Here is a 23,476-nt window from a genome sequence, read left to right on the forward strand (position 1 = left end):
GCGGGCCTCACCTGAGCGGCCGGGCACGCCCCGTCCCCGAACGGCCACCCACCCCGGGTAGGCACGCGTCACCTGTCCATCCACCTCGCTACCTTCTCTCTGCCACCAAAAGGCTTACGAAAATAAGGCGCAGGGGGTCTGGGAGACCCCATCACCAGGACTCAGCTTCTCTAAACGCGGGGTTGGGGGTCCAGGGACCCCCCCGTGCGACCCGCATGGGCTGTACCCGAGGGCGGGGGATAACGACATCCCCTGGGGCCTCGGCGACGACGCCGCCCGGCGGCGGGGGCCGCGGGGCCGCGGGCCGGGGCGGCGAAGACCCTGCGCCGCGCCCACGGGCGAGCGCGGCCCGGCAGCCCCGCGGCCCCGCGCTGGGCCTGGCCGCGGGCGGGCGGGGGGCGCGAGGCAGGGGACGGGGGCGCGGAGCCCGGCCAGGAGCGCCCGCGGCGGCGGGACCCGGCGGGCGGGCGGCGCGCAGGGCGATCCCGGAGCGGCTCCGGGAAATCCAGCCGGGTTTTGACTCCGATCGCCAACGGTGCCCGCAGCCGGCGAATGTAACAAAGAACAGTCGGCATGGCGGCTGGACCGGGGCGGCGCGCGGCTGCCGGGCGCGGGGGGCGGGGGGCAGCGGGCCCAGGGCGCGCCGGGGCTCGCGGGGGCAGCGGGTGCGGCCCGGGGCCGGCGGGGCGCACGCCGGGGCGGGCGGCGGGCGCAGGGCCCGGAGCTTTACCTGCCTTTGGAATGTGCAGAGCGGGATCGGATCCGGACTCCGGGTTGCGATCCGCTCCGGAAACTGCGCAGCACCGGAAGCCGGGGGGCGGCGGCGGGGCATGGCGGGACTTGTAGTCCGCGGGCGGGCGCGGGGGGCGCAGGCGAGACCCTGGCGCGGCCGGGGGTCCTGCGGGTGGGACTGCGGGGCGCGGGCGGCGTGGACGGGGCAGCGGGCGCGCGCGGGGCGGGTCTGGCCGGAGGGAATTCCGCGCGCGGCCCCCCTCCCACGTGGCACGGCCCTGCCGCCCACGCGCGCGGGCAGCTCCCTCTCCACCTCTCCTCGGACGCGTTTCTTGCGGAGTTGGGGAGTGGTGGCGGTGGGTGGGTCGAGTTTTTCTCTAGAACAGGCCTGGGACTTGCCCCCACTCACGGTGACCTCTGGATTTGGCCGGCGGGGCCCTGGGACACGAGCTCTGTGCCCGCGAGGGGAGTCTGGCCTGGCGGGCTCCGCCACGCTACCGGTGAGCACCGGGCCAGCCGCGGACCTGGCTCTCCATTCTTCCCCGGGGGCCTGTGTGGCCTCTCTTGACCCCCTCCACCAAGTGTGTGTGCCATCACAAAACGTGAGACGGAGAAGGGACAGACTTTTCACCTTAGTCCTGGCCGCCCATATTCAGAGAGGCCGACTGTCTTGTTCATTGCTGCCTGGCAAAAACCTACATTCATAAAGAGAAGTGATGAACCGGGGAAAATGATTTTAAATTGATGCCACAAAAGGGCTCGTTTCCCTCATGTACGTGAAACTCTTGTGAACCAATAAAAATATATATGTATATAGAAAAATGAGCAAAGTGTGTGGATGGACAGTTCGTAGGAAATTCAATGGTTCTTAAGCATATGAGAAGCTATTCAACTACGCTGCAATAAGAGAAAAAAAGTCGCAGTGGGATCATTTTTATTAGATTAGCAAAGATTTTTTAAAACGTTTAATACAACCTGGGCAACATAGCCAGACCTTGTCTCTAAAAAACTTAGCTGGGCTCGGTGGCACGTGCCCGTAGTCTCAGCTACTCAGGAGGCTGAGGCAGGAGGGTCACTTGAGTCCCACAGTTTGAGGCTGCAGTGAGCTGTGATCGTGTCACTGCACTCCAGCCTGGGCAACAGAGTGAGACCCTGTCTCAAACAAAAACAAACAAAAAAAAGTTTTAATAGCATAATTTTGAAGAAACTAGAGAAACAAGCTCCTTTACGGGTAGGAGAATAAATTAGCGTAGTTTCCATTCAGATATTTGTGGATATCCATAAAAATTCTAAATGCACATAGCCTTTGACCCACATGCAGGAATGGTGCCAGAGACGGACTCGCTTGTATGAATGGCATATGTGATCATCACATTTGCTTACATACTACGTGCCATCCCATGGGAAGTGTTGGATGCACCTGGGCACATCCATAGGCTGCAACGCCGGGCAGCCGGAGACAGATTAGGCAAGTGTTGATCTGTGAAGGCTGGTTTCTCTGCCTGGCCCAGCATTCTACAGTGGCTTCCATGTTGCACTATAGTAGGCCATCCCATGGCCCCCCAGACCTTTCTGGAGCATCCCCGGCGTCCACTGTCTCCCTGCTTGTCCCCACCTGCGACTTCATGCCTCCCTCCAGCCTCCTGTCCCTGAAGCCTGTTCCCAAGGCCTTCTGTACTCTATCTTCAAACACTTCCCAGGTTTTCCACAACCTTCTCTGTATTCAGGTCTCCGCCCAACCCCACTCCCACCACCACCACTACAGCTAATGGACATTCCCTCTATACACGCACCTCCAGTGACATCACTCACAGTTCCAAAATGGCCAGATGACTGGTTCTGTGGGCCTCAGGACATGAAACAGTCCTCGGCATATGTGAATAAAAGGTTGTTTACACTAAAAAAGTGACAGGTCCACAGCAAGTGCGAATAACTGAAAGTAAACCAAAGACTTCAACCTCCCCCAGGCCATTTCTCCTATTACTACATACAGCCCACGGCTGGAATTCACTTACACAATAATCGTCATATCTCGTCTTCAAGAGGATTGTCAATGTGTCCACTATAATCCTTCAGAACAATCTAGAAATAATACCTCTTAAGGCAGATTCATCTCCAAAATGTTAAAAGAAAAAAAAAAGTTTTATCTTAAAGTGTCAAATTTTCATTATTAACAATTAATGCAATATACAACTTTGAAAAATGGGCAGAAAGAAAGAAAAAACAACTATAAAGGTTGTTATTGAGGAAAATGGAAAATCTGAACGTGAACAGTGATACCGGATAATAGTATTGGATCAATGTTAAATTTCCCAAGGGTGATCATTGTATTGAAAGTATGGTAGCCCGTGCCATTCATTGTTCTCACCAAATTGTTCTGAAGGATTTAGGGTGAAATATTGTGATATCTGCAAACGTGACAGAGACCGAGAGAGAGCAGATGTGGCAAAACTGGTGAATCTAGGTGAAGGCTATATGGGTTGTTCCGTAGGTTTGAAATTAAAAATAAATGAGTTGAAAATTTAAAAAACAACAGACAAGAGCTTCCATGGCTATCAGTGAATTTCCTTGTGAACACTTAATTCTTCCTGAAAGATACTAGATGGGATTAAGATGTAATTAATCACTGAGGGCTATGCCCGCAGCCCTGTGGACCGCCCGCCCGCCCGCCTTAGATCAGTACTTTTCCAATTAGCACGTCTCCTGGGCTCTGGTTTTGTTATAATTCAAATACAAACCTACTGCTGTGCAAAGCATGATAGACATCCTCAACCACCTCTCCAGCCACCTCCAGCTTTTAAGAAAAAAAAAATTGGCTAATTTTTCTCATAAAGAGGGAAGTCTGATCATCAGCGAATAAGTTAATTCCTACTAAATATGAAACATTGACTCTCACTTCATGTTATTCTCACCCAAAACAGGCAGCATTAAAGTTCAAAAAAGACCATATATCCTTGAAGAGTAACTGCTGAACTTATTCACTGGCAGTGGGCCTTATAGCACAGTGAATGACCAGGTTAGAGACATGCTTCACATTTGCTTACATACCCACAAATTAGGGGATGATGTATCTGGACTGTCTAGTAGAACTTTATCATAGGAGTATGTAGATTTTCCATGGAGTGCTGTTGTGTGACTTGAATTTTAGTCTTGGCCCTGCCTCTGACTTCCTCAGTGATTTATCCTGGTTCCAGGGAAGGAGACCAGCCTTTTCCTCATGCTAGTCTTTGGTGGTTTTTAAACATTTGTTTAACTCAACAAATGAAATGTATCATATGCCTGACACCGCTACACCAGTTTTTTTACATATAAAATTGTTAAAAATTTTTGGCCAGGTGCGGTGGCTCACGCCTGTAATTCCAGCACTTTGAGAGGCCAAGGCTGGTGGATCATTTGAGGTCAGGAGTTTGAGACCAGCCTGGCCAATGTGGTGAAACCCCATCTCTACTAAAAATACAAAAATTAGCCGGGCATGGTGGCGGGTGCCTGTAATCCCAGCTACTCGGGAGGCTGAGGCAGGAGAATCACTTGAACCTGGGAGGCGGAGGTTGCAGTGAGTCGAGATCACGCCATTACACTCCAGCCTGGATGACGAGAGCGAGACTCCTTCTCAAAACAAAACAAAACAAAAAAACATATAGGACCATAGTCCTTAATCTCTCCAATCGACACAGGCAGAGCCAGAGACTCACGGCTGTGAGCAGAGGTTCTCCAGGCAAACAGCCAGTGCTCAAATTCTGGTCTAGCCAGCTGTCAGCTTGGGCAAGTTACTTAACCTCTCTGTGCCTCAGTTTCTTAACCTGTAAAGCTGAAATAGATCATGCCCCATGGAGTTGTTTCAGAGAGTATATGAGTCACTACATATAAAACTATTTGAAAAATTCTTGGCACATATTGAGTGTGCAATTATTATTAGCTATTGTTGTGATCTCAAGTCTTTCTCTAACTTTATTTATTTTATTGAGATGGAGTCTCACTCTGTTGTCCAGGCTGGAGTGTGTGATCTCAGCTCACTGCAACCTCCGCCTCCCAGGTTCAAGCGATTCTCCTGCCTCAGCCTCCCAAGTAGCTGGGATTACAGGCATGCGCCACCAGGCCCAGCTAATTTTTGTATTTTTGGTAGAGACAGGGTTTCACCGTGTTGGCCAGACTGGTCTTGAACTCCTGACCTCAGGTGTTCCGCCCGCCTTGGCCTCCCAAAGTGCTGGAATTACAGGCGTGAGCCACCGCGCCCGGCCTATTATATAAAAGCTATGCTTGCTACCGAGCTAGACTATAAATTAATACATCCCCTGGGCTTAGTCCAGTGCTTCACCTGGTACAGCAATGATGATCACCAGCTGATAACCCTTCTATTAAGGTGCCCAACGTACCTGCACGTCCAACTTTATAAATATCGATGACATTAATATAGACCTATAAATACATAGGCAACTAGTTTTGAATGCCTGTTACAGCAGGGCGTGACTCGCAGTTTCCACTGTGGACAGTCACAGTGTGGAGCTGGGGAAGGCCAGTGGAGGAAAGCTGTTTCTAGGTCATGATTGGGAAGGAGGGCCTGGCCTTGGCAGCTTTCTCTCTAGGGGGATCACTGTGCTATGTCAGCCATCCTGGTGTCTAGCCCCCTTTGGTGAGTGATCTGCATTTTAAAAATAAACTTTATTGACATATACACACATCACCCTGTCTTTGTAGGGGTGCTAAGGTCAAAACAGCATGTGGTCATCCCCTCCAGTGTCCTGCTCAGTCCCCAGCACCAGGTCCTGGGCGATGGAGGGTGAGGTGGGTGGAAGCAAAGCTGCTGTCTGTGCTCACGTAAGGGTCATCAGCTGACCTTTGTCCTTGCTCTGCTAGGTGGGCAGTGACTGTACGAAGCCCCGGGGGATACAGGAAATGAGAGCAATGCAGGACAGTGAAGCCTGAGAGCCGGAGGCCTGGACCGTGCCGCTGCAAGCACGCCAATTCCGCAGCCTGCAGAGAAGCTCCTTCGTGGGGAAGGCAGGGCTTGAGTTGGGTTAGACCATTCGAAGAGTGAGTGTGAACTGCTGGGCACGAGGATGCACACTCCAGAATGACCGAGGGTGGTTGAGTTGGATTAATTTGGGCAGTGGAGACGCATTGGCAAACAGTGCTCATCTGGAGGTGATCAGCTTAGGAAAGTTGGTAAATTAGGACAAGCTTGGCCTCCAGCAACTCAATCCAGCCTCCTCCTGGAGCATCAGCACAAAGTGGGTCCCTCTGGCCACACAGAGGAAGCAACAGTTCAATCACTGGGTCCTGAACCACTTCTAACTCCAAACAAGAGGCACTGCCATCACCACCTTGTGGTGCCCAGGAAATGGAGCAGAAAACCTGGAACCCAGCTGGGAAGCATCGGGCTCCCTCTAAGGGTCTACACGGTGTCTAGCGAGCGGGCGGGACAGCTGAGAGGAGGGGTGGGCAGTGTGGGGACAGGAGGCTGGGCCTGTCCAGTAGCTTTCTCCAGGACACCAGCTCTCCACGTGCTCTGCTGTCTGGGCACCGCAGGGGGAATGAAGACTGAGGGAGACCACGGGAACTGATGACTAGAAAGAAGGCACGATGCCTGCATGGGGCCCGCAGGACACGTCTGTGACCCGACTCGACCGCCTCCCTCCCAGAACCACCGTGAGCCCCAGGCAAGTGCCGACGCTGTTCCACCTGTGGCTGAGCCAGGTACCTGTCCCCTCTGCATGCACCCGGGCCACCCACCGGGGTGGGGAATGGACAGTGAAGTCCAAGGATGACCTGATGAAAGGGGCGCTCAGAGAAGACCCTGGGACTTCCAGGACAGAACAGGACTCGGGAAAAACAACTCAGTGTAGTGTTCTGTGTGCACATTTATTTCTTTCAAAGATTGTTTGTGTTCCAGCCACATCTTCTCCAAAGGAACCCACCCAAGCCCGTGTGCAGGCTTGCTGCAGGGCTGTCTTCGGCGTTTAAAGTGCTACTGAGGAATACAATCATTGTCACGTAAGTTCATCACCGCACTCCAGCGTCAGGCCAAACCTTTCCGTGGACCTGGAAAACCTGCCACTTTCTTCTCTTTTTACAATGCAGTTTCGACATAACATTGGTAGAGTAAACAACAAACCACAAGCCTAAATGATGAATGGTGCGCTGCTGCCCAGCTGCTAACTGAGAGAACGAGGCAGTGTATTGTGTTTCGAATGCAAACGGTCATGGACCCAAGTTAACCTGAGTTTGCTCTGCAGGATTCCGCGGGGGCCTTGCCCTGTGCAGGCTGCTTTGGTCTTCGTGTCTAGGCCGGTTTGGGGCAGTGGGGAGAGGGCCTGGCAGCAGGGTTTACGCCAGCCCCGAGGTCTGTTTTCCGTCAGACAGAGATACGTGTCCTGCCTTCCACCATCCACCAATTTGTACTCTGAAGTTTCCAGATCAAGAGCCGTGAGATTACTACCCAGGAAACACCTGCCTTCGGTGGCCAGCAGTGTAAATTAATCTTTCCCTCTCTGCTCAAAGCAACTTTGCAACTCTCGTCTATAGAGGTGGCCAGTAAAACCCAAGCAAAAATCTAAACGGGCACCAGGTGGCCACTGAGTGGCGACTGGTCGAGTAGCAGTTGGTCATAAGGGATCAGGGCTGGTTTTGAACTCAGACTTGAAACTTGACGAAAATAAAGTGCTCTGTCAAAACTCTCACAGCAGGTTTTCAGCTGGAACAAGGAGATGGCTACTTTTTGTTATTGCTACAATAACACACGCGTGTGTGCAAACACACATAACACACACACACACTTAAAGCTCCATTTCACTCCTCCACAAAGAACAGAGGCACCTCCTTAAACAAAGCAAACGGGGAAGGGTTGCAAGCTCATTAAAACCAACATGAGCACCCAGTTCCAGAGATACAGACACAATTAATCTTAGTGTTCATGAGGAATTGTTTTTAAAACACAACTGGGCAAAACTTTCATCCAGACAAAAGCCAAAAACAAAAGCCCTCAAGCCACAAAAGCTTGTAGAAGAGGTGAGGCGATAAAGGTGATTTACACATCAGTATTTTTAGCATTTGGTGGATAATCTTAATTTATCTTTAACCTTCACAACATTTACTTTGTCATAAATACCCTACACCATGAAAAAACAAACCTGTATAAAACAGCTTGGAAAACAAACATTCACAGTATCAATACAGCCCATTTCTCACGGTGCTACCCTGAAGCTAGCCGACGTGTTGCCTTTGCCTTTGCTTCATAAACTCCCTCCCATGTTGGTGTTTTCTGTAACTTCAGAAAAGGCCATTGGATGGAGACAACGTGTGCGTGTCTACAGGAAGCAGAGCCCTAGACCTTGGTATTCAACAGTAAGCAGCGCTCATGGGATTCATCTGGAAATGGAATAGTTAAAACCTTTTTTTTTTTTTGAGAGCAAGAAGGCTTAATATAAAATCCTGGGGCCGGCCTGGTGGCTCATGCCTATAATCCCAGCACGCTGGGAGGCCAAGGTGGGTGGATCACCTGAGGTCAGGAGTTCGAGACCAGCCTGACCAACATGGTGAGACTCCATTTCTACTAAATAGAATTAGCCAGGTGTGGTGGCGCGTGCCTGTAATCCCAGCTACTTGGGAGGCTGAGGCAGGAGAATCGCTTGAACCAGGAGGTGGAGGTTGCAGTAAGCTGCCATTGCACTCCAGCCTGGGCAACAGAGTGAAACTCCATCTCGAAAAAAAAATTTTTTAAATAAAAAAAAACTTCTGATATCCTTGCACTTGAATAGAGTGCACCTGAATTCCAAAATCAAATAAAAAAGAACAATTAAAAACTTCTCATCAGTGTCTGAAATTCTGACACATAATATCCTCTTGGAATTCTTAAATATGTCTCAGCCTCTTTTTACCACATGGCAAAGAGCAGTAAAACTTCAAGTAAAACATTAAAGTGAACATCTGTCCCATCTGTCCCAAAAGACTAACAGTGATGCCTGACTTTGGGGACAGAAACTTGGTAGTATTCACATGTTTTGAAACTCCAGGTGCTTTTTTTACAATGATTAAAACTGGAATATAATTTTTAAAAACAAAGCAGGTTGGAAAAGTCATTTTAAAGTCACTTGATAATTCCTGGAACACCTAAGAAGTTTGTAATGCGCATTTTAAAGTGAAATTCCTAATGTCGTTTTCTAATCTCTCTCTCTAAAAAAGAAGAAAAAAAAATCCTATAATTTTGGTTTTTATACAGGTTTTTACTAAAAAAGAAAAAAATCCTATAATTTTGGTTTTCATATAGGTTTTTACTAAAAAAGAAAAAATCCTATAATTTTGGTTTTTATATAGGTTTTTACTAAAAAAGAAAAAAATCCTATAATTTTGGTTTTGATACCGGTTTTTACTAAAAAAGAAAAAATCCTATAATTTTGGTTTTTATATAGGTTTTTACTCACCAGTGGCTCTATTACCCCCGAAATATTTAATGTTTAAGGATTAACAAGAGGCTACGGAAGGAAGCTTGCCCATTTCCGTCTCCATGACAGAAGCCAAGCTTTCGTAACAGCCTTTTACATGTCTTTGGAGAAAAGTGAATCATATTAAACTGTCAAGAACACTTCACCCCAATGATGACTGCTCTTTGACCAGCATGTCTACTGGAAGTGGCACATTCAGAAGTGAGATCTGTGAATGAACTGAAATAGAAAGGCAACTGATGAGGAAAGCGACTGGAATGATATTAGGGATATTCAAATGGTGTGCCAGGTTTGTGATGTTTTCCACCAAAACAAACCCAAACAAGGGCACCCCAACCTGTGTCCAAGAGGACTGTTCACAGCAAAATTCTGAAGCGCTCATAGAAGGAATGTCCTGCGAGTTTGGCCCATTTGTTATTAAACTTCCATTCCTAAGACTGACACCTGAGACACAAAATAATTTCCTCTATTGCCCTAAAAAGACTTTGTTTTGGCTACTGGCAGCACTTGGCAAAATCCATGTATGTGTTTGGTTACTGTGTTCTACGAGCGGTCACGTATGGCTCCTGACTTCATCTGACAGGCCCGCTGTGCTCTTGTTTAGCAAGTATGACAGGCAGGAAAAAAAACCCTGGATGTCAACTGCTCCACTAGCATTATTAGAGCTTTTAACACGATAGAGAAAAATGTAAAAACCATGTGAGAATATATATATCTTCCACTTGCAAGTAGGCTCAAAGTAAACTTAGAAAAGTGTTCTGCATACTATGCATAGGATATAGTTAGTGTTCAAGTTCTATGGCTAATATCAAAGGTAGATGACTTCCTACATCTGTCGTAGCGTCTCCATTCTTATCAAAATTTCTCTATTAATCCAAAATCCTGCCTATGTTCCACTTCCCTGTACTCAGGGCCAGCTGCATTTTTTATTCCAAGCAGCAGATGAAGAGAGGTGACCCATCCTTTCCATTCACAGTGACAGCACAGGGGGGCACCTCCTTTTTGTGACATGGTCCAGGCATGGACCCAAAACAACACTTGTTAGTGTAGAATAGGTAAACTAAGTCCCTCAAACCTGCCCTCCACAATCTATTAGAGCATATTATTTCACTTATAATGTTAATCTCCTTCTAATATTGAACCCTAACCCTTAGCTATGAGCACAGCCCAAGCTCTGCAGCTGTCAAGTCTCATTTAGCATCTGGTGGCAAGTTGGGCTTTTTTGTCCTCTCTGGGAGAAGCCTCCTGGCTGGAGACTCAGATTTTGTTTTCCCTTTAAATGACGAGATGGTTGGAAGAAACCCAGCAAGACAAGCGGGGCATCTGGACATCCGGCGGACACACTGGCTGCGTCCTGGTGAGGGTAGTTAACATGGGTGCACGTCTTCTGGCTTGGAGGTGATGACCTCAGGCCCTACGTGCAGGGCTCCACGGGGGCACCGTTCATGGTGTTCTTGTTTCTGTGCCTGGAGAGCAGCTTCTTGTTCAGGATCCTGGTGAGGGTGATGCCTTTCCTCCGGGAACCCTCTGGCTGCTCCAGGAACACAAGGTCATTGTGTGACTGACTCATGCCTGGGTCTTTCTGTTGATGCCGCCGGCGGAAGAACAGCTTTGCACCTTTCCTTAGAATTCCTCCTGGAAGAGGGAGGCACAAGGGCTGGTCAAGTGGGCAGGGAATGAGGGGCTGAATGACTGGTCCAATCGGACAAAGGGAAAAGGAGGCTCGAATGCCTCTAACGAAGGGCCAGTTTACTACTTCAATATGCTGTCACTACCTGCATGAGAAAAATAACTGGAATCTGGCTTGTACAAAACGAGAGTTTTCAAGATGAAAAGGAAACGAGATTATAACAGTAGAAGCAGTAAGCCTGAACTATCGCTTGATATCCCTTTCTAAGGCCGATATTTATATTCCTGAATTTTTTTTCTTTTTTTTTTTTGAGACAGAGTCTTGCTGTCTGTCGCCCAGGCTGGACTGCAGTGGCGCGATCTTGGCTCACTGCAACCTCCACCTCCAGGTTCAAGCGATTCTCCTGCCTCAGCCTCCCAAATAGCTGGGATTACAGGTGTGTGCCACCATGCCTAGCTAATTTTTTTGTATTTCTAGTAGAGACAGGGTTTCACCATGTTGGTCAGGCTGGTCTCGAACTCCTGACCTCAGGTGATCCACCCCTCCCTCAGCCTCCCAAAGTGCTGGGAGCTGGGATTACAGGCATGAGCCACCACACCTGGCTTATATCCCTGATTTTCTATCAGACCAAATGGAGGCAGACAGCTATTGCCTCGGTTGGGATACCTGGGTCCCCTCTGTGCCACCCACTTCCCCTCATTAGGAAGGGTGTAGCTGGCAAAGCAGTACTATGTCCCAGAAAGGATGGTCACACTCATAAAACCCAATTAAGACCCTGAGAACAATGGTATTCACTTTCTTAGGAATGTTAAATAATATTTGCTCTTTTGGGAATAAGATTTTATTAAAAAATAATTCCAGATCCTATCATATTAGGCTATGCCATCTGAAGTTTGTTACTTGGGCATATTTGGCCTACAAAACGTCAATTTTGTGTGGTTCGATGTATCTGCTTACAGATAGATACAGATCTCTATATACAGATATTTACCTGGCTATAGATATCCATCAGGTAGTAGAATACGGAATAGAAAAAAATTAGCAGCAGCAGCAACAATAATTTCAACAGCAATGATTCCTTAAAGATCAAGTACAAGCTAATGTAGTGGGTGCAAGAGCCCACTAATTTGCTTTTTCACAGATTAGTTTAACATCCTATTAACCAAGGCTGGCAAGGTCGAGGGAGTAAGCATTTCAGGCCAGCCTGTGAAATTCATTACCGCTGGCATGTAGGTGGTAATGACTTTGAAAGAAGACAGGTCTGATCATCATGAAGAGGAGCTTTATACCTAATGTGATAATTTATTCCCTTTGTGATAGGCATATCCAATAAACATTTCAATAGCCACGACATATGCAAATCGCCACCCATGTTGAGGAGGTTGAAGGAGGGCACGAAGAATATCAATTCCCTCTTCTAAATGAAATGCACACCAACAATTGTGGCATCTGAGGGCAGTCGGAGAAACCTGACCTAGACCTGCCTATGAATCTTTGTATAATCAAAGCCTACTATGGGGAAAGAAGCATGTGCCCCTGAGCCTGACTTCAAGCAGGAACTACTGTGTCCCATCTGCTCTGCCCAGGTTACAGGACAGAAACTGAGAAGATGAAAGGCCGCAATGGACTGAATTTAATTTGATCAAAGCGGCCATAATTTTTTAAAAACTTGACTCTCTCAACACAACCAAATCACTTTTTATGACGTGTCATTTGGACATTTTTTACAGTGATCTAAAGTTAGGAGCCTGTGTGCAGGGGCTTCGGGGACTGCTGGAAAAGGAATGAAAAAGGTGGGTAAGTAGTGACATTTTTTACAGTGATCTAAAGTTAGGAGCCTGTGTGCAGGAGCTTCGGAGACTGCTGGAAAAGGAATGAAAAAGGCGGGTAAGTAGTATCAACGTGTAAATGATGTCCCTGTTGTCCACAGGCCTAATGGCACACCTGTGGGACATCAGTGTCAGTTCCTGGAGTGAGTCACGTCCCTGAAAAATGCAGCACATCGTGAAAAACCAGCCATCAGCAGGGTGTGTTCTGACAGGTGGATAATGACCCCCAACTGGACATGACTTTGGAGTTTGGCCAGTGGGGCAGATACAGTGGTGCTGATGTGGCTAACTGCCTGGTGTATCAGAGGGCACCTGCTGGGGAAATGCCCTGGGCATGGTGATAGGGGCTCCCAGGCAGAGGAACCCCCAGCTGTCAGGGGGCTCTGAGCTGACCAGGTGACCTGAGGCTGGGGGATGAGGGGGACCTCAGTGGTGTTTCTGATCTATAGGCACCTGCACCTGCCTTGAAGCTCTGCTTTAGGCTGATCTTGGAGGCCCTGAAGGGCCTATGGACAAGGGCTCCCAGGTGGAACAGGGGAGAGGAAGGGGTGGATCCATCAGCTTCACCTGGACTGCTCCAACGTCACCCCCTTCACTTCTAGGGGAAATGGAGGCCTAGGGGGAGGGAACGCCAACCCACCCCCTGGGGTCAACCACAGACCCAAGGACTCAGAACCCCCAGCAGTGAGAGGTTCCCTCCTGCTCCACCTCCAAAGTCCATTTCATAGGCGTCCCTGCACTGAAGCTGGCCTGGCGTCTGTATCCAGGCCTGAGGTATGAGCAGGGACAATGTTATGGGCTGAACTTGGCTCCCCCACCCCCACCCAAATTCATATGTTACAGTCCTAATCCCCAGTACTTCACAGAATGTGACCTTATTTGGAGATGGGGTCCTTGCAGAAGTCATCAACTTAAAATTAGATCATTGGGGTGGCCCGTGATCCAATATGCCTGCTGTCCTTATCAAAAGGGGAAATTTAGACACAGAGACAGACACGCAAGGGAAGACATTGTGAAGGGTCACAGGAAGGATGCCACGTGAAGATGAAGGCAGAGCACAGGGTGATGCTTCTACAAGCCAAGGAACACCAAAGGTTGTCAGCAGCTGTCAGGAGCTGGAGAGGCGGGAGCAGGCTCTCCCACAGGGCCTCAGAAAGGGTGGCCCTGCTAGCACCAGCAGCTCAGACTTCCAGCCTCCAGAACAGGGAAAGAATTGGCTCCTGGTGTTGCAAACACCCAGTTTGTGGTACTTTGATACAGCCCTGGGAGGGGAGGGGGCGCATTTGGCTTAAGGATCCAGGAACGTCCACCATGTCTTCCTGTTCAGTCCTTAGAACCCAGGCAGCAACATGGAGGAGTGGAGGCGGAGAGGACAGTGAAGCAGCATCCTCAGCCCCGAGCCCTCCAAACAACAGGCCTCTAAGGACAACAGGCGTGCAGGCCCTTCCTGGAGAATCTGGCATGATGGGGGTCTGGGGACACTGGGCATGAGCATTTTTCAAAAGTTCCCAGGTCTTTTGAACATGCAGCTGGGGTTATCCACTGCTAGCCCGGGTCTGGCCAAAATGCCACTAGTGCTTAGAGCACTCGGAGGCCACAGCCGACAACGCAGGAGCAGGCCAGGGCCAAGGACACAGGCACCATACCTGCTCTCCTGCATGTCGCTGCTCATGCTCCTTCGCACTTCACTCTGGGGGCCGGCAGACCACAGGGCTGTGTGGGTAGAAGCTGACGCAGCCCACCCGCAGGGCCCGGTGCCACGCCAGAGACGCGCGGTGCGCCCAGGTTAAGAGGGAAATGGGTGTGGAGACAGGCAAGGCACGGCTGTGTTCAAAAGACCTTAGAACAGGAACAGGAGCCAGGCACGGTGGCTCAGGCCTGTAATCCCAGCACTTTGGGAGGCTGAGGTTTGGAGAATCCCTTGAGCCCAGGAATTGGAGACTAGCCTAGGCAACACAGCAAGACCCCATCTCTATTTTTAAAAAATAAAAAAATTAAACTTTTTTTAAAAGAAATAAAATGGGATATGCACATTTTCAAGCAGTTATGATAATTTATGCAAGTGAAATTGTACTACAAGTGCCTAAACCTGGGAGGCTGAGGTAAGTGTTTTGCTTGAGCACAAGAATTCGAGACTACAATGAGCTATGATCTTGCCACTGCACTCCAGCCTGGGTGACAGAACAAGACCCTGTCTCTCAAAATAAAATAAAATAATAAAAATAAAAACTGCCTAAAATTCTAATTCTTGGCATATTAAGATGAAATAGCAAGGATTGCAGCCTGCATGTAAAAAGATGGTAGACAAGAAAGATTCGCACGGCATGTTTGTTTTAACCTCACTCCGGGCTCCAGTCTGTTGTCTGTCCATACCCTGAGGGACTAACTTGTTTCAGTGGCAGACCTCTGCCCCAGGGAGCTCTGTGCCTCTTCTTACACCCTACCGAGAGGGGCTGGTAACAAGGTTATTTTCTGTTCTTCCATCTTCACTCACGCTCTCCAGAGCATGTCTGCTGTTTTGTTAAATTTCTTTTTTTTTTTTTTTTTTTTTGAGACGGAGTCTCGCTCTGTCGCCCAGGCTGGAGTGCAGTGGTGCTATCTCAGCTCACTGCAACCTCCGCCTCCCAGGCTCAAGCGACTCTTCTGCCTCAGCCTCCCAAGCAGCTGGGATTACAGGTGCACATCACCATGCCTCGATAATTTTGTATTTTTAGTAGAGACAGGGTTTCACCATATTGGTCAGGCTGGTCTCGAACTCCTGACCTCGTGATCCGCCCACCTCGGCCTCCCAAAGTGCTGGGATTACAGGTGTGAGCCACGGCTCCTGGCCTGTTTTGTTGAATTTCATAGTTCAACATCAATGCCAGAAACCAGATTATGGTCATATGTGCCCGTGTGCAAATCTTCCTGAAATCGTTTGTGTGACTTGCACACTTTCCCCTAACCTGATAATTTGTCACAGCTTCTAGGGGGATGGCATCAACTTCTCGAACAGGGCACAGTCATGTGCGGGTGGGGACTGAGGTTTGCAGTTCTGTAGACTGGACCCTCAATTATATTCCCCAGCCGCCTCTGAGGAAGGAGGCCTGATCCCTACCATTTTTAGGGTTGCTTTTGGTCACTGTTTTCCTACCTATAGGATTTTAAGACAGATTCCTCAATTAGCTATTTATGTTTGCTAGACTCTGTAGGGACAAATGAGGAAGCTAAGGTTTGGAGAGGTGGCTGGCTGGGGTCGCACACTAATGGGACGGGTGTGTGACATTGCGCTTTCTGGCTCTGAAGTCCATGTTCCCAGGCCCTGCTCTTCCATGCTGCTAAGGACAGCGTCTGAGAAGTGGCCAGCCAGGTGTCTAGAAAAATGGGCAAGTCTGTGGCCCCTGGGGAGGAGACTCCGGAGAGTGTGGATACATCAAAGCCCGTGGGGTCTCATGGAGCAAAGCCCCCTAATCCTGCAAGGACTCGGGCGGGATTCCCAGAATGAGTTGCGTCTCCAGAGAGGCATGCAGGGGGCAGGGGAGGAGGATTCCAGCCATGCGGACAGAGGCCATTCCATTCCCTTTCTCAATAGCAATGGGAAAGCCTGTTTCGACTTGGAAGCAGATTGTTCACTATCACCTTTGGGGTAAACGATGCAGGGAGAACAGGGCCCCCAGATTTGCCAGTGCACACTAAATAGCCGCCCCATGGTGGTTGTGAGGGTCAAGGCTGAGACAGGAGCACACTCTTGTCTGCTGGGCAGTAACCCCATATGGAATGTACCGGTCTGCCCACCTCCACGAGCAACACCTGTGAGGTGTCGCTGTGTCAACCTGGCTGCAGCACCCGGAGATTCAACAGAACACGCACTGAGGTGCGGCTGGGAAGGCATTGTGTAGATGTGGATAACAACTCCAGCCAGTGGACTTTAAGGAAAGGAGATTATCCTGGAGAATGTGGGTAGGCCTCATCCAATCAGCTGAAGGCCCTAAGAGCAAACACTGGTTTTCCAGGGAGGAGGAAATTCTGCCTCAAGAATGAAGCATCAGCTCTTGCCGGGGTCTCTGGCCTGCTGCCTGCCCTGCGGATTTCAGACCTGTCAATCTCATGAGTCAGTTCCTTAAATATGTAACCTATGGGTTCTGCTTCTCTGGAGGACTGTGACTGATCCAGTAACTGATGGTCTGGATCAAGCAGATCATCTGCTTGACTTTGAGCCCGCAGAATGTGTTGCCCTTTGCTGATAGTGAAGTTCACACTACGGTCAACAATAGCCGGGGCCATGTTGATTGCATGAAGCCTGACTACTTGACTCCAGGCTACCTTCTCTACGCCAACAGCAAGAAGCGAGATTTAGACCTCACCCACAACCTTCAAGATTCCTGAAGATAATTTGGGGAGTGGTTATGTGAAATTGGAGGCAAGTAACCAAGATTTTAAATGGGAGACAGGGAGAAGAAGAAAAGTCTTTCCCTGGTTCTAACAAGGTTTAAAAAACAAATCACAAGAAGGCTGAAGTATAAACAAATACGTGAAAGAATTTAAACATAATTAATCTAAATTATAGCTCTAATGTCATAAATATTTCCAAATGTATTCCTATTTGTCTCTACAGAGTCTAACAGACATAAATAGCGAATTGAAGGTTCTGTCTTAAAACCCAGCAGAAAGAAAAACAATGACCAGAAAAAAAAAACAATTGTCTTTGGCTTCCCAAGAACAGCATCGGATTTCAACTGGAACCACAGATGGTCCGTTGATAGAAGCGACTACTTTTTAGCTCTGGAGGACGACAAAAGGAACCAGCTTCTTCCTGTGGGTGTCACAGCGAGGTCGCCTGGCCACATCAGGTACCAGAGCGAGCGCCCTCACCTGATAGGCCCTGTACAACCTCAGCCACAGCACTGTCAGGAGGAACACGCGGAACTAGCAACCTAGGAGGGTAAAGGCGGAGTTGGGAGGGAACACGAGGCAGGCAGGTCGGCTGGCTGCTGAGCTACAGGCTGCACTCCTAGGACGTCTACGTGTAATTGAGAAAAATAAGACAAAAATAACTTACTGTGCAGGCAATTAATTCTGGTTGGCATAGCGATCCTCTTAAGTTAAAGGGAATGAGCATGAGATGAAGAGAAGTAAGAGGCAGAAAGAATTATGCAAGAGCAACATCAGAGTGGACGTGGGTAAGGGTTCTGAGCCATCTACAGACACCACACGCACACAGGACGCCACTGTGCAGGATATTTGGCAAGGTTTCTTACTGTTCCAAGTTTTTTTTCCGAAAACCTCCCTTGAAACTTTTGTGCTTACTTGTGGTAACATACCCATAATATACCCTCTTAACCATTTCTACCGGCACAGCTCAGTGGTGCTGAGTATATCCACGACCAACTTCACTGATCTTTTTTTAAACTAAAAGTAAATAAAAATTTGGGGAATACATTTCCTGTGCGGGCTGGTTTCCAACCAGCAGAACCTCAGGAGGATTCGAAATACACAGGCACTCTCAGAAACCGAATACAAACTCCTTAGCAGGACAAAAGATACAGGTGGTTCTTAAACCAAAAAAAAAAAAAAAAAAAAAACAAGCTTTAGTTTTTAAAAAAAGACATCCTCTATCACCAGTTTTGAAAAATGTTTGGTTGAAAAATGAAAATGACTTGGCACCCATAACACAGAATCGTCTCAGATTGTGACAGCATCTCACAGAGATGCTAATTACAAGTCTCTTTAAAAGCACTGGAAGGAAACATTTAAAACTGCTGCCAAGTATGTCCTGTTCAAAAACCTGGGGTCAATGAGGTAGGGGCGCAGGAGTGAAACGCACGGCACGGCTGAGCCTCTCTGCTGCATTCCCAAATGCCGAGCCTCCGGCAAGTTCTGAGCCTGCGTTGCAGGTGGCCAGCCCCAGCCCCCAACACACCTGCCCGACACCCAGTCCCCAAAGGGTGGACCCCTCATCCACCTGGCCCGTGAAGGGAGAGGAGCAGGGTGGGTGACACAGCAAGGATGGAAACCCAGGGAAAGACCTCCCGGAAGGGAAACCAGACAGGGGGAAGGAGGAGGGGCTGTGTGAAGGAACACAGATCTTTACATGAACAGAGTGAGCGAGGCTTGGCATTTCAGAAGGAATGAGGAGGGCGGACGGGGGGTTGGGTTCTGCCAGGACAAGAGGAAACGGGCCATCCAGTCAGGTAAGGGAGAGGAAGAGCTACCCCACCCTGCACCCATGTTTGTCCCGCTTCGCCCAGCACTCACTGTCTACAAGACAAAGAATAGGCCACAGGTGTGTGTGTCAGGTGACCAGGTCACCTTTGACATAACCCAAGCCAAGGCCTCTTAACAGGAGCACAGGAGCCTGCCACAGAGGTCAGCGTGCAGCTTACAGCCCTCAAGTGCTCTGTGGAGGGGGGTCCATGCATCAAGCACCCCAAGGCCAGGCAGTGGGCAAACAGAGTCCAACGGGTCTGAAATCTTATCCAGGAAATTTCCTCCTTCTCCCTTTCCTCTTCTAACTTTCCATTTCCCCCAACACCTATCACGACTCTGCACTGGCAAGGAGGGGGGCATGGGAGAGGGAGGCCGCCGTGCCATGGCTGAGGGACACAAAGCAAAGACAGGGAGAGAGGGGAAGAGGACAGACTCAGACAGTCCAGCCCATGGCAGGCTGTGGGCTTTGGCACCAGGGACATTTGGGACCAGAGCATGCTGCACTGTGAGGCTGCCTTGTGGGGGCGTGTCCTGTGCACGGCAGGGCGCTGAGTGGCATCCCTGGCCTCTATTCACTAGATGCCGACTGCACCCCAGACTCCCAGCTGTGACAACTAAAGTGTCTCCAGACACTGCCATATTCCCTGGAGGGAAAAAGTGCTGGGCTTGAGAATCACTGGTCTATGGCATCAAGAACAGAGGACAAAAGGCAGCGACAGCAGCGCTTAACAAAGCTCCCCCAAGGAGCCCCTTCGATTTCCCGACACAGATGGTCTCAGGACATCCTGAGATTTCCGCTGAAAGCCTTGGAGCCCCACACAAGAGCCAGAGCCAGGAGTTAATGCTGAGCTTCACCTGAGCTCACGGCTTGGCCTGCCTTGCCCCCAGTCCTGTCTTCTGCACCAAGATGTCCTTTTGTCCCCCGAATGGTGGAGTCAGGTGGGCGCAGGCAGCGGCCATGCTCCTCATCTTATGGAGGAGGATGCTGAGGCTCGGTGAGTCTCACATCTGGAACGGACCCCAAGCCCCTAGACTATATGTCCTTAGCAAATACATTCAGGTTACTCATGCCAAGGCACTGTCTCGGCAAATCTGCACACGCTTAAGGAATTTATAGTTTTAAAGCACGGACTTAGGGCTAATGGAAGCAATCAGTACTAATGAAATGATCACCTCCTCAGCACCCACATATTAAGTTAACCGATTCATTATTCCCAGGAGCTTTTCTCCCTGTAGAGCCTCCTAGGGTCAGGTGGTGAGGTCTGGTTTTGTTTCAGGTGCAGGGAGACTCTTGACAGGCACAAAGGAGCAAAGATGTCCATATCGGCAGTGGAAGGAGCCCCAGGCTCTGCCTGGCTTTGCTCTGAGTCTCTGCAGCCCATCATTGTGTACAGCTCTTGGTAACCCGTCGGGAAGCCAGGTGGAGCAAGCCCAGACTGAGGAAGGGGCCTCTATGCATGGACACACACTGACCCCAAATGCAGAGATGACGCCAACCCTCCCACAGAAGGACCGGCAGATGCCCCACCACGGGTTCAAACATTCAGCACAGGGCATTTCTGGAGGGGCAGGGGTGAGGCTGGGAGGGAGTTTGTAGGGGACAAAGGGAAGGAAGGCAGATGACTTCAGCTTGGAAGCCAGCATGAGCGCAAAGCCACCAAGTGGGGGGCCCGGGATGGGGGGCTCGGGAGCAGGTACCTTTATGCTTTTTGGCAGTGCCCGGCTCCAAGACACTCATGGAGCTCTCTGACAGCTCATCACCGTCGGGGTCCAGCAGGACCTGGCTGCTCCATGCCGCGGCCTGTGGCTCCTTCTCCAAGTCCCAGGAGTCTAGCTCGTCCTCCTGGGGCTTGGGGGCAAGGGATGCCTGGGCTGACTCGGCTTCCTCTGGCGGGGCAGAGGCTGCCGCCCTCTCCGGATGGGATGGGGCGTCCTCCTGGTGGGTGCTGTCCACAGAGGCCGTGTAGCCCTGCATCAGGGCAGCGTCGTGGTCCTGAGATAGTGAGGTCTGTCAGGGGCAGTGGGGAAGATGACAAGGGATACATGAAAGGAAGGGAGGGTTTGAAAAGAACTGAAAAGCACTCTCCAAAACATTCTGACAGCTGATTTCAAAGTCTCAGAAGATGCAGCCGTGGGCCTCATAGAAGGCGCTTATACATCACGGCCGTTGCTCATGCTTGGGTTAAAAAAGGTCTCCCTTACAGCCAGGGCTCAGGATCCCTAGGCAGCTGGGGGTTGGCCCCCGGGGCTCAGAGGTTAACCCTCTTCCTCTCACAGATGGGCCTAGCGGTGGGAGCGTTTGTGGCAAGCTGCAGAAATGAGATGCGAGAGAGAGAGCCCGTCCTTCAGAGTCCACGACAGCACAAAGGAAATGGCCGTGGGTGTTTCGGGTTTAGCTGTCTTTGTTCCTACACGTTTATGTTACCTGCAAGTGGAAATTCACCGGCACATCCTCTCAAAAATTATATTTTGTGTAAAAATATTTAAGCACTAAATGAACCTCTGAGAGTCGGGATAGCGCTTCCTTGGAGGGGGGAAAGTTTGGGGAGGAGGGCACGGGGGCTCCCTTCCTTGGAGGGGAGAAAGTTTGGGGAGGAGGGCATGGGGGCTCCCTGAGGGCCAGTCATGCTGTTCTTGGTGTGGGTGGCAGTGACACAGGCGTTTGCTTAGGGACAACTGTGCTGTTCTGACTTAAGTGCCAGCCTGTGGAAGCGCCCACTGACTCAAGATTAGATAATCTCCCCGTCTCTACTTAAAAAAGTACAAAAAATTAGCTGGTCGTAGTGGCGGGCGCCTGTACTCCCAGCTACTCAGGAGGCCGAGGCAGGAGAATGGCGTGAACCTGGGAGGCGGAGCTTGCAGTGAGCCGAGATTACGCCACTGCACTCCAGCCTGGGTGACAGAGCGAGACTCCGTCTCAAAAAAATAAAATAAAATAAAATAAAGATTAGATAATCTGAGCACCAATAAAAATAATCACTGCGGTGAATTCAGAACATTAAATACTAAGATCCAGGAGTTCTTTGTGATTTTTAAATATGATCTTAGAGAAAGTATAGGGGAGATGACCACGAGTCTTGTCCTTATTTTGCTCATTCATTCACCCAAGAGCGAAGAAAACCCAACTACTGGGCCCCGGACTTCCAGAGAGGTCATGGATCCCTGCTGAGGGCCCCTGGAGGGGCTCAGGAAGCCCCCAAAACACCACCCGCCTGCCTCTGGGACGTGGGGCAAGGCCACCCTCTGGGTACAATGGCAAGGTTGATGACTCATCTCTGGCACCTCCAAGGTCCTGTTCTGGCCTGTCTCCCAGCCACTGAGGAATCCATCTTCTGCGTGCCCTCTGCCCACCCACCCACTCTTTTGTCCAGAATTCTTCCTCATCCCCCTCCTACTCCAAATCAAAATCTTCCCAACTCTCCCTCCACCTGTTCATTTGGAAATGTCAAAAAAAAGTAAGGGCCGGGAGCAGTGGCTGACGCCCGTAATCCCAACATTTTGGAAGGCCAAGGTGGATGGATCGCTTGAGCCCAGGAGTTCAAGACCAGCCTGAGCAATGTGGTGAAACCCCATCTCTACCAAAAATACAAAAATTAGCCAGTCTCATAACAAATTAGCTGGTCTCAAAATAAATAAATAGATAGATAAAAATTTTAAAATCAATTTTAAAAAATGTAATAAAAAGAGTAAGGATCTGTAACATGGCCCTTCACCTGAGGGGCTGGCCTCTCCACAGCTGAAACCACACACTTGCCACCACCTGCTCTGAGCGGACGTCCCAGAGCGGGAGAAGGGGGAGAAAGGGAGTGCGGTGTCCACGGGGGACACTACAATGTTCATTTCTCTCTGATTACAAAAGGAATAAACATTCACTGCAAAAAAGTAAAAGGCTTTGGAAACGTGTCACGTGGAAAGTGAAAGTTCCCCGTGACTGGGTGGTGACGAGAGCAGAGGTTCTGTACCAAAGGGGAGTCTTACATCATGTTCCTCTCTTTCGATAATTTTTCTTGAAATGATTTGCCAACCTCTCAACGTGTAAAGCGTCCCTGATTAGAAAGTCTCCCATGTCCTTGGTGAATAGGATAAACTGTGTAAACACAACACCACACATGACTCCTTTGTGGGGTGAGGAACATAATTTGACATTTGTAAATGGAACTCTCTGGACGTTAACCAAGTGCTTGGGCTAACTTCTTCAAAGGGCAGAGGAGCAGCAGGTCACTGACAGATGACCAGATGAACACCTCCCCAGCCACCACGATGGTACCTTGGAGATCCCTGATATGATAATAGTGCTTTTCTTCCGTGGCGACTTGAGTTTCAGCTTTGAAGATTCACTGAGCTGTCGAATGGCCACTTCAGCCACTGGATCCGAACCATTCAACACCAACAATTCTACCAGAAGGAAGGCAGTGTTAAGTTCATCAGCAAAAATTAAAGACTTCCATGGGAACTTCCAGGGATAATGGAAATGGTCGATAAGCAATGGTTAGCAGATATTTTCTAAAAGGGGCCAAAGGGTCAATTGTTTAGGCTTTGTTGGTGGTCTCTGCAACAACTTCTCAATGCAGCTTTTATAGAGTGAAACCAGCTAGAGACCACAGGTAAATAAATGAGCATGGCTGGGTTTCAGTAAAACTTTATTTACAAAAACAAGTGAC

At 49.6% G+C, this 23,476-nt stretch overlaps 2 protein-coding genes across 24 annotated transcripts in view, besides 4 other annotated features; both read right to left on the bottom strand.

Moving 5' to 3' along the window:
- PRDM15 (PR/SET domain 15) overlaps nucleotides 1–805 on the bottom strand; it is an 81,120-nt gene extending 80,315 nt beyond the window's left edge. For 9 of the 19 annotated variants that reach the window (NR_104258.2, NR_104257.2, XR_007067792.1 and 6 more), the window contains exon 1: nucleotides 731–805. Coding sequence is in view for 1 of the 19 variants with exons in the window: in XM_011529683.2 (XP_011527985.2) it covers nucleotides 156–217 (62 nt within the window). In the remaining 18 variants the exon portion in view is untranslated. Of the gene's footprint in view, nucleotides 1–11; nucleotides 34–155; nucleotides 322–456; nucleotides 602–730 lie in introns of those variants that run through there. The other 10 variants (NR_135464.2, XM_047440940.1, XM_047440938.1 and 7 more) reach the window with 3 other exon arrangements.
- Nucleotides 679–728: an enhancer, noted in NCBI's record as "active region_18492". NCBI's record gives its function as "activates an Ori minimal core promoter by ATAC-STARR-seq in GM12878 lymphoblastoid cells {active_cell/tissue: GM12878}" and the evidence as "EXISTENCE:reporter gene assay evidence [ECO:0000049][PMID:35858748]".
- Nucleotides 879–928: a silencer, noted in NCBI's record as "silent region_13333". NCBI's record gives its function as "represses an Ori minimal core promoter by ATAC-STARR-seq in GM12878 lymphoblastoid cells {active_cell/tissue: GM12878}" and the evidence as "EXISTENCE:reporter gene assay evidence [ECO:0000049][PMID:35858748]".
- C2CD2 (C2 calcium dependent domain containing 2) overlaps nucleotides 6,573–23,476 on the bottom strand; it is a 68,907-nt gene continuing 52,003 nt past the window's right edge. For all 5 annotated transcript variants that reach the window (NM_015500.2, XM_011529522.3, XM_011529523.3 and 2 more), the window contains 3 exons: nucleotides 23,083–23,210; nucleotides 20,514–20,823; nucleotides 6,573–10,805 (listed from right to left, as the gene is read on the bottom strand). In NM_015500.2, the coding sequence (NP_056315.1) occupies nucleotides 10,585–10,805; nucleotides 20,514–20,823; nucleotides 23,083–23,210 (659 nt within the window). In that variant the 3' untranslated portion in view covers nucleotides 6,573–10,584. The remainder of the gene's footprint in view (nucleotides 10,806–20,513; nucleotides 20,824–23,082; nucleotides 23,211–23,476) is intronic.
- Nucleotides 7,056–7,105: an enhancer, noted in NCBI's record as "active region_18493". NCBI's record gives its function as "activates an Ori minimal core promoter by ATAC-STARR-seq in GM12878 lymphoblastoid cells {active_cell/tissue: GM12878}" and the evidence as "EXISTENCE:reporter gene assay evidence [ECO:0000049][PMID:35858748]".
- Nucleotides 20,043–21,043: an enhancer, noted in NCBI's record as "H3K4me1 hESC enhancer chr21:43318691-43319691 (GRCh37/hg19 assembly coordinates)". NCBI's record gives its function as "activates a minimal SCP1, AML or CMV promoter by ChIP-STARR-seq in naive and primed H9 embryonic stem cells {active_cell/tissue: H9 hESC(naive and primed)}" and the evidence as "EXISTENCE:reporter gene assay evidence [ECO:0000049][PMID:30033119]".

The sequence above is a fragment of the Homo sapiens genome, chromosome 21 (genome assembly GCF_000001405.40).
Source record: "Homo sapiens chromosome 21, GRCh38.p14 Primary Assembly".
NCBI classification, from domain to species: domain Eukaryota; kingdom Metazoa; phylum Chordata; class Mammalia; order Primates; family Hominidae; genus Homo; species Homo sapiens.